Genomic DNA, 10,671 nt, shown 5'->3' on the forward strand with positions numbered 1-10,671 from the left:
AAAAAAAAAAAAAAATGCAGAGACAGAGGCTTACAGAGAGTACATAGTCTTCCCCAAGTCGCAAAGTTAATAAATGGCATTAAAATTCTGTCTTCTTGATACTGAGCCCATGACATTTCCAGTGGTCATCGTGACTGCTGTGGTACCCAAATGACTTGAAAAAGAGCATATTCGGGTTTATAGCACACATGTACACACTCCTACACCGGCATACACAAACACACATACACACTATTTATTTGAACTTCCAAGATATTTATGATCTAAAAAACTGTAATAAGCTGTCAAAATTATTTCTTAAAAATAAAGGTGAGAATTTACCACCAACATACTTCACCAAAGAAACGTATAAATGATGTACATAATTGAGAAGGGAAAAGATGCAGCAATGAGGTCTGAGATACAAGAAGGAACCATGAACAAGATTGGAAAACACAAAAGGAAAATCTAAGCAAACGCCAATTGAGTTCAACAATAATAATGCTAATGGATATGATTAAATATAATATAAAACTACGTTTCTGGAAAACAACAGAGTAGAGTGGCTGCTTCCATCCTAAGGATGTCATCTTCCTGTGTATCCTCTTGGTAGGTAAAGACCAGCTAGAGAGGCTCAAGATTTTATAGGGAAAACAACATTCAGTAGGCTCAGAAGTAAGACACAAACTATGGGAAACCTTACACATATTTGTGTGTTTACTGAAATAGAACGCATTTTGTAGATGAAGACATCTAAATAAAGAAAAGAGCAGTGAAAGTTTGTGTTACTTGCCTTAGCAATAATTGGTACTTTACTAGTCAGGTTTCACAAAATGAAAGCCCCATGAGGACAGCAGGGACTGTGTCTCGCTCCCATCTACATTCCAGTTCCCAGGCAAGAAGCTGGCAAAGTCAGTGCTCAAAAGGTGTTTCTGAATTAATATACGAATTCTATTGATTAACTTCGAATTCTCCTCCCGGGAAGACGCATACATCTGCCAGAGTTTTCTCTGTGGAAGTTCCTGCTGATCCGATGTGTTGGCACCATCACTGGCATACGAACTCCAGAAATTAGTGCTTCCATTTACTCTGATACATCTGGCAAGAATATGCATTCAGGTGCCAAGGCAAGAACTGACTCGCAAGGCTCCCGCCCTGGACACAGAAGAAACCTTCTGTGACTTCTATCCAACGTATATGGAAGGGCCACCAGAATTTCTTCTTCTTCTTCCTGCGTTTCTATGTTAACACCTGTTGCTCTCTTCCTGGCCACCAGAATGGTGTCCATGTGCACAGGAGAATGGCCAGAGGACCAGCCTAGCGGCCCGATACTTCCACCATGTGCGCCGTGCTGTCCTGTTCCAGGCACTGAACACCTTCCACATGGTTGGTCAGAGGTGGTTTCCTGGGGTTCAACATGCACAGTTGAACAGGGCCCTGTGCTTAGAAGGACCCTGATCTTGGTTTAATGCTCTGATGTCACCATCTTGAAATTCTTAATTTTTGAACAAGGGACTCAGCATTTTCATTGTGCACTGGGTCCCACAAATGATGTAGCAGGTCCTGTGCTTGGCACTCTACTTAGCCCTCATTTCCCAAAGATACATCAAGTCTTCCAGGGAAGACCCTGCAGTTTTATCCACAACTCAGACATGTGAGCAAGCAGTACAGATACCGAAAAAAAAAAACCTCCTCTCCTCCAGCTGCCTGAACTGGTCCCCCAAATGCTATTTCCTTGGGGCCCCTACTCACCCCTCCTTGTGGCAGTAACTCACGTCAGACCCTCCTCCTGGCAGGCCGCCCCCGCTCAGCTCTCAGGTTCCTCATCTCATCCCACAGCCCACCTGTTTACAGCGACCCCAATCGAGCGTGGGCTGTCTCCTTTCTTGGCCTCCCTCTAGCTTCCTTCCTGGACCTGCAGAAGTTAGCTCAGGGGCTGTTTCCTCTAGGACTCCTTCTCTGACTTCCATAGTATGGTCAAATCACCCTTTTCTGTCCTCCCACAGTGCCCTTGGCTTTCCTGCTTTCCGTCTGTTTTGACAGCACTCCCATTCCCTACAGTCACGCCTAGAGCATGTGTCAGTCTTCCCCAGCAGATTCTGAGCTCTTTGCAACAGGGATGATGCCTTTTCTCATTGGAACCCTGATGCCTGGCAGGACCACAGTCATTGTTTGTGGAGTAAAGTGGTGAGGAGCAAGACTCTTTGGCAGGTTCCCTCGTGTACAGGGCATAACAGGAAAAACAGCCACCCAGGGACGCACCTTGCTTTGGTGCCCACATTGAGATCTGCTCACACGTTGACCTCGACTTGGCCATACTTCCCTGGAAGGGAAGCCATCTTTGCAGACAGTCCTCTGTCTCCCGGCAAAGGCGCTTTCCCCACCAATACCCCCTATTGTGGAATCAGATTTTCAACGCCCGTCCCACTGCTGAATCTGAGCCCACTTGTCACCTCTGTCTGGGCCACACACAGAGTCTAACGCCTTGTTTTCTCCTACAGGCGGCTGCCTCCTGAAGCAGGGATCTCCTCTGTCTTTGGCGCAACCCAATGTATACTCTGAAAGCTCTCAGAAATGCCATTAATTATAATAATAGTGACACTCTGTACTTTTATAGCCTCTTTCATCAGAAGATCTCTGAGCACTTAAAAAATATTATCTCATTAATCCTCACAACACCCTCGTGAGACAGCTGGCAGGTAAACCTATCCCAGTTTATCAGGAAAGGGAACGGAGACAGAAAGATGATGGTTAGAGAAGGGACTAGGATCAGACAAAGAGATGGAAGCACTTGGGACCTTGCACCCAAGCTGGCTGCATCATAAACCCAGTCCATGGACCAGCTGGACATGTGCATTCTATAAAAATGTATCTGCATCGCATGAGTGAGTAATGGACATGTCTGACATTTCATTGGTGTTTAGGAGATGGTATCAAATCACTGACATCTTCAAAAGTCACCCTTTTGTTTCTCAGCAAATACTTCCAGAGCATATGCTCAACACCAGCTCCCACTGGCAATACAGATGGGCGAAGCTTATCAATAATGTTTAAGAATCCTTCTTCCTAAATTTATCTGAGCGCTAATGAAGCTTCCAGCAAAAAGGAAACAGTATAATCATATACGAATCCCAAGCCCCTTTCAACATCAGGAACACAAAGCAAGCACCTGAGAAAAAATATTAATTATGTCTTTTAACGAGGAATCAGGACTTCGTGCCACTGAGCCTTCGTTTACATTCCTAGCTCTGAGCTGAGCAGGATTTTGAAGTTATCTGGTCTAACCCTCTCATTTTGCAGAAGGGGAAAAAAGGAGCCTCGAAGATCTTGGGGGGATCCACCTGAGTCACAGTGAGTAGAGGGCAGAGGTCAGATGAATTTTTTTTTGTCTTTTTCTTCTTCTAAGAGGTGAAAGGTTTTTTTCTCTGCTATTTGGGAACACCCTTATTTATCAACATAAACACCAAAATACACCTTTGATAGCATTTGAGAAAGTTCTGGTAAACATAAGTCCTTTCATTTTTACTTCCAAAGAGTTGTGGGTGTTGAATTGAGGGGTGGGAGGGGGCAGGAAGCTTCCCGCCAGCCCTCAGTGAAGGGCTTTGGCCTGGGACACACACAGGCTAGGAGGAGAGAGCCTCCCTCTCTGAGTGAAACGAGCCCAGGAGCTCTAATGCATGCACAATGTATAATAGATACCTGTCTGGTATAATTAATTGTATTTTTCCTAAATTTAACATTGCTCGAAGGGGAAAATCATTTTGCTTGATAAAACCCCTCCTGCCACACAGCTTCTATGAGCTGGCCAGATTTAATTGCTACGATAAAAACCACAAGAAAGACCAGGTTCCCACTCAATCTATAACCACATCTACTAAAGAATAGCTTTAATCACCTCTGAAAGGGCGACCACAAGATAATTAAAGGGGAAGGGTGCTCATTGGGAATTATCCAGAAATATCAAATTTCCGTTTATCGCGAAGTTTGACTTAAAATATCTTGGCATGGCTTTGTTCCCAACCCCCACCCTGTTTTGAGTTAAGCCGTTGTGTTTCCCATTATTTAGTGGTGGAGGAAATGGGCCTGTTCCACAAGTCTATGTCCACTAACAGGTTGAAAGAGGGAAGGAGGCAACTGTCAGCTGAGAAGAGCATGGAGTTTGGGGAAGGCCACACAGAGACCAGAATTGTCTTTCCTCTATGACCTGTGTGCTGTGTGACCATGGGCAAGTGGCCTAACCTCTCTGAGCCTCCTTCCAAAAGTGAGGGTCATAGTGGTTATTCCACAGGATTATTTCAGCTGAACGCCCAGTATATCTGAATCCCTTTTCTTCTGCAGAATATCCACCCACCTCTAGAAACCAAACAAAATGCATAAAGGCCTGAAACCAATGGGGCAGATTATCTGAGGAGCTGTGAAGGAGTGGAGAGGACGAGGGCTGCGTGTGCCAGTGGGGTTGGCTTTCCAGGGCTTGATTGATTTTCTCCTTCTGTTGATGCTCTTCCACATTGCCCAGGGCAGGGCTCTGAGGGGCAGGCGCAGGAACCAGTGGAGCGACATTCTTGGCAGCCTGTTTGTGCTCCCAGCAGAGAGGCTTTGTTCTAGGCCCAAATTCCCAGGCCTCCCGCTGTCTGGGGAGGCTGCCCAGGAAGTGCACATCTGCCTGGCCTTCACCTCCCTGAGGCTCCCCCCGACCGGCCCCAAGTGCAAGCACAGGCTGAGTGCTTATCTAAACTCCTGGGACAGAAGAGACTATGCCCAGCACCTGAACCCCTGGAGGAGGGAAGCAGGGGACAGCTTGGTTTTTCCCTCACCAGGAAGAGAACACTGATACCAATTTGTATATTCATTGAGTTCTCCATCCATGTAACCCAGGTGGTCACTGTGCCCCTCCCCCACCCCCAGCTATTCACACTTAAACTTGTCCCAGGATTTCGAGAGTCGCAGCCCTGGGCCTATGAGCTCTGCTTGTCTCTGCAGCTCACTTCCTGCTTCTGTCTGCCTTGGTGCTCCTGCATGTAAATGCAATACCTACCCCTGCCTCCACCCCCAGCCCCAGTATCCAGTCATGAAGAATACTTGCTCCCTATTTTTAAAATAATCCACTTGTGTCTTCTATCATAGGTAGAATAATGTCCCTCCCAAACATATCCATGTCCTCATCCCTAGAACCTGTGAATGCTACTTCCTATGGTAGAATGAACTATGCCGATATGATCAAGTCAAGGATCTTGAGGAAAAAGATCCTGATGGTCTGGGTAGACCCAGCACAATCATGAGTGTCGTTATATAAGGGATGAAAGAAGACACAGGCTCAGACAGTAGGAGTTGTGACAATGGAAGTAAGCAGTGGTCCGAGTGATGCGAGGTGGGGATCTTGAGCCAAGGAAGGCAGGCGGCCTCTAGAAACTAAAAAAGGCAGGGAAAAGGATTCTCACCTGAACCTCCAGAAGGACCCATCCCTGCTGACAACTTGATTTTAGAATTCTGACCACCAGGGCTGTAAGAGAATAAATTTGTGTTGTTTTAAGTCACTGAGTTTATGGTAATTTGTTACAGCAGCAATAGAAAACATTACTCTCCAAAATTTGGGGAGCCATGCGGTCCATAGTGTCACATCCTGGAGTACCTGGCCTTCTATAAACAACCTCCCCACCCCGTTTCCTCCCCCATTTTCCCCAAGAGCATCAGGTGGAAGTGCTTTCATTGGCAGGGAAGGGAAAATCTAAGCGCCAGCGCCCATGCACCTAACTCATTATTTTCCCCACACAACCAGGGCGTGCAGGTCAACGTAGGCATGGTATGACGGCGGTTCTCAAAATTCTTCACTCAGGATGCCAAGGAGGCTGCTGTGACTTTACAAATTATATTGACACCAAATTCTAGAAGAAGGGGTTGGGCATGGTGCTAGATAGGTCAGATCAGAAAAGCAGAAGTTTTCCCCAAAGCCTCCAGAGCTGCCCTATCTTTTGGTCTCATTATCAAAACTGGGTCCCACAATCACCGCTTGTCTTCAAAGAAGACCAAAAATTAACAGGATGGGATGATCATATCTCGCTTAGTCCACATGTGATTCGTTGCCTTGACACACTGGTGTTGCAAACAAAATCCATTTTTATGAACAAGGAAAAAAATGTTGGGTGTGTGGATGTAGCAGACACATTGGTGTCCCCATGATCACTGCTCTCCTGCAGTGCACACCAGCCCAGCTTGCAGCTGTGCTCGTCTGCTAGGAGGAGGGAGAAGCTGGATGCTAAGAGACCTAGCCCTCCACGTAGATCTGTTCCCCCTGGGCCTCCACCATGATGGATGGACGATGGGGAATAGATCCCCAGGCTTTCTTCCCTACCTAGGTGGGATAGCTCAGAGATAGGCTCTGTGCTGTCTCCCAGGGTGCCCCATCAGGGTTAGCCTCTAGGTGTGTCCACAGGAAACACTTGCACAGAAATGACCTCGTTCTTGGCCACCTCCAGGAGGTCTCCCTGGACCACCCTCCAAACTATGTCCTTGCACACAATCCTCTGTCTCAGCATCTGCTTCTGAGGGGCCTCAAATCAAGACCGACAGTATTTTCATTTTCTCTCAGCCCCATCCTCATGCAGAAACTGGGGGTATCAATGCCTACCCCCAAATGGTCTTTCCAATGCAACTTCTCAACAGAGGTGAGGATTTTGTTACAAGGATTTCTTCCACAAGTTGCCTGAAAGTGAGAGTAAATGTCATTGCACGTGCATTTGTTTACCAATCAATCGCCGGGGGTCAACTGGACCCGAGTCCAGGCTGTTTGTGAGGTTTACTAAGGTATACCAGATATAATCCCCGCCTTCAAGGAACAGCCAAACTGGAAGAGAAGGGAGGAGAGGTGAGAAGACCAGGCAGCCCAGAGAAGAAGGGATTAAGCTTGCCTGACGGAGTCTCATTGGGAGCTGAATAGAAGATAGCGAGAAAGGGGTTATTTCAGCCCAGGCACAGCATAGAAAGGAGAAAGAGTAATGACAGAAGGAACTCGTGGCACAGCCTGCTGAGTGGTGCAGAAAGGTAGGGGAGAGTAGGGCACATACTGGGAGGAAGACAGAGCTGGGGAAGGCAGATGTATTTGGAGACACAACCCGCCCACCTCGAAGAGCTTCATCCTTCAGCTGAGTTCTAAATCCTGGTGTTCATGAAACCAGCCCACCTCTGGGTGAGGCGGGTATTACTGAACCCTTTCGTTTATACAACTATTTATAGGGTTTTGTAATATAGAGATTTGTATTAAATCTTCTCCACAAACTTTTCTGCCTATTTCTCAATGAGAAAGTAAACCTCAAAATGCCAGTCTTTCCTAAGGCCACGGAGATAACAGGTGAAACCTCCACCATTTGAACAGAAGCCTCACGTTCTTTTTAAGGGACTCTAGCCACCCTCCTTTCAACTGGGAAAACAAAGGGACAGAAGACAAAGAATCCATTTGCCTAACACACCTGGTTTCATTCATGGCAAGTCTCCATCTTTATGAAAAGTTATTTTATCTTCTTGCCAGGTGCTTCAAATTCTACTGTCCAATAGAAATATAATGTAAGCCACAATGTAATTTTTAATTTTCTAGTACCACATTTTTTTAAAAAGTAAAGCAAACAAGTACAATTAATTTTAATAATATATTTTAATTAACTCAAAATACCCCAAATATTATCATTTCAACATATATCAATACAAAAATCACTCATTATTAATGAGATACTTCTATTCTTTTATTTATACTAAGTTTTAAAAATTCAGTGTCTATTTTACACTCATAGCACATCTCCATTTGAACCAGCCCCATTTCAAGTGCTCACCAGCCACATATGGTAATGGCTGCCATATTGGAAAGGGCTTCCATATTGGACAGGACAGCTCTAGAATTGCATGTGAAATGGCAGAGTGGTTTGTGTCATGACTTGGAGTTGTGAGGTCCGGCTTGGCTTTCTCTCTTTATCTTTGTTTAAAGCCACATTGTGAGCTTTTCCAAATAGTCAAGAGTGGAGAAAATGGGATCATTATGCAAAGCAAAGCCATGTTGACTCATAGATTTAATGGTAGATAAGAGACCAATGATCTAGGTCAGAGGTCAGCAAACTACAGCCCATGGGCCAAAATCAGCCCCAGCCGGTTTTTATATGGCATATGAGCTATGAAAGCTCTTTAAATTTTCATGGGGTTGTAAATAAATAAATAAAATTTTATAAATATGCGACCACACTCTACATGGCCTGCAAAGCCTGAAATATTTATTAGCTGGCCCTTTACAGAAAAATGTTCCCAGCCCCTCATCTAGCTAGTCATATTATTATTTTTACATCAGTTGGTTTTTTAATATTTGCATTCCAATCTATAACCATAATTCCTACATGATTTTACTATTAATCTAACATCTCTATAGTCTCAATGCTTACCACCAGTCTTTCTCTTCAGCTTCCCCATTCTTGAGTTCTTCATTTAATTCATCGCTTGGTTAGTTGAAATTTGCTGTCAATTTCTTTCTTGTTTTTTTCAAGAAAGGCACTTATGGGAAAAGCCGGGTTGAGAGGGTGAAAAAAAAGAAAGGCACTAACATGCTGTGTTTCTTGAGATTCTACTGTTCGATTGATAGTCCATGTTTTCTGTTTGTTTGTTTTTGATCATTTGTGTCATTATACTTACGGAGAAAAATCAGACTTAGCCCCTGCCTTCAAGTGATCTGGCTGGTTGTGAAATCTGGAGCTGGAAGTCACATTTATTTCCCTCAGAACTTTATATATCAGCCTTCTGGGGACACTGAAGGCTGTGCAACCATCTTCTGATCACCTTCTGATTTGCTGGACTTTAACATAGAACACTATTTCTTCCTAAGGCCTGACAGGACTCTATTGCATAACTTCTTTCAGGTTTCAGAATATCTGCCTGTTGCATTTATACCTGAAATACAACTTACCTGCAATGAGATTCTTGATTCATACCTCATATCATTTAGAACTCTATGTACTGCTCCCTGTCTTTGGGTGTGACATGTTGCTGCGGGAAAATCTAAATCTTGATTTTTTTCTCCCACTCAGATGTCTGAAAAATTCCACATGCTTTTGGTGTTCAATAAACTAAACAGGATATGTCTTGGTGTCAAATGTTCTTTATTGACTTTTTGTAAAACGTAGTGTGGTCTTTTAATATGAATAAATTTCTTTCCTCTCTTCAGGAGAATTTTTTCCTCTAATTAGGACTATGAACAGTTGTCCCATTTGTTGATTTCTAGATTTTAGGGCCACAGATCAGTCATATAAGACATTATCTTTGTCTATTATCTTTCCTCTGATTGAGTCAATCTCTTTTTTCTGCATTCATTTAGATTTTCTCAAGCATTTTCCCAATATCAGTTAATTCAGTATTTCAACCACATAGTTCTTTTCTTTGTTGTGATTTATTTATTGATTCTGGCATGCTGTTGTTTCAGTAATCATGTGGTTTTCTTAACTTTATCCTATCATGTTCTTTCCATCTTGTGATGTCACTAACACCTTGTTGACTACCTATTTTACTAAACCTATGATCATATTATATTTTAGATAACACAAAGCAGCAGTTGCTAAGGATTTTCTTCAGTTTCTGGGATTATGTCTTCCTCATCTGTATTTGATATATAATGGTCTTTAATTTTTTTATAATTGTCTTTTGATGTAGCATATTTCTAGAGTGGCCAAATTATTTCTTGTCACCTAACTTATCCTAAACAAGTGCATCGCTTCCCAAATCTTCTGTTTTCTTAAATAAAGAAACTTCTTGCTGTGAAACCGGGATCTGCTTCTTCCTCTGAGCCCCTAACAGATGTGCATGACTGGCCCCTCCACTCTTTATTAATCCACTTCATTTTCCTGGCAAGGCTAGACACTCCAGGTGGAAACAAGTTTCATAACTCCAGAAAGAGATTAGGAATAAGCAAATTTAGCTCCAACTCTATCCTGTTGCTACCTTGACTGATATAGACTGGTGTTACCTGGAGAAAATGCAGTGAATTTTCCCTGATGTTTCCTAAAGCTGCCTATTCATCTCCTCAGTCTACCTATCTCAAAGTTAGGAAATGGGGCTTTTGCCAAAAAATATCGGAGAATTTGGTTGACTCACTTTTTTTTTTTTTTTTTTTTTTTTTTTTAGAGATGGAGTCTCGCTCTGTCGCCCAGGCTGGAGTGCAGTGGCGCGATCTCAGCTCACTGCAACCTCCACCTCCCAGGTTCACACCATTCTCCTGCCTCAGCCTCCTGAGTAGCTAGGACTACAGGGCCCACCACCATGCCTGGCTAATTTTTGTATTTTTAGTAGAGACAGGGTTTCACCATGTTAGCCAGGATGGTCTCGATCTCCTGACCTCGTGATCTGCCCGCCTCGGCCTCCCAAAGTGCTGGGATTGCAGGCGTGAGCCACCGCACCCAGACTCAGTTGACTCATTTTTTTATGGGATAGTTATTATTTGGGGGGTTGAAGTAAATATGCAGACAGTCATTTCAGAATCTTACATTTCTTTTTTTGACTCCACTTCTGCATGTAAATAGCATGAGATTGGGTCTAGTTCCTTGCTTTATTGCAATTATTCATTCTTGGCTGCTTTTTATTAATTTTTATTCATTTAATTAAATGTTATAGAAGAAAGGCTCTGTGGTCCATCTTTATTCCATCTATTTATTCAAAGTGTCCCCCTCTTTC

General features: G+C 43.7%; 1 long non-coding RNA gene across 1 annotated transcript, besides 1 other annotated feature; it reads right to left on the minus strand.

Annotated features, from left to right (window-relative positions):
- Window positions 4,414–5,011: an enhancer, noted in NCBI's record as "OCT4-NANOG-H3K27ac-H3K4me1 hESC enhancer chr14:99285865-99286462 (GRCh37/hg19 assembly coordinates)". NCBI's record gives its function as "activates a minimal SCP1, AML or CMV promoter by ChIP-STARR-seq in naive H9 embryonic stem cells {active_cell/tissue: H9 hESC(naive)}" and the evidence as "EXISTENCE:reporter gene assay evidence [ECO:0000049][PMID:30033119]".
- On the minus strand, window positions 5,073–8,708 carry LOC105370658 (uncharacterized). The gene is made up of 4 exons (XR_944197.3): window positions 8,397–8,708; window positions 7,443–7,516; window positions 6,605–6,679; window positions 5,073–5,479 (listed from the first exon to the last, which is right to left on the minus strand). It is a non-coding gene; the product is annotated as an uncharacterized LOC105370658 (long non-coding RNA).
- Between the last annotated feature and the right edge of the window lie 1,963 nt (window positions 8,709–10,671).

This window comes from Homo sapiens, chromosome 14 (assembly GCF_000001405.40).
Source record: "Homo sapiens chromosome 14, GRCh38.p14 Primary Assembly".
NCBI classification, from domain to species: Eukaryota; Metazoa; Chordata; class Mammalia; order Primates; family Hominidae; genus Homo; species Homo sapiens.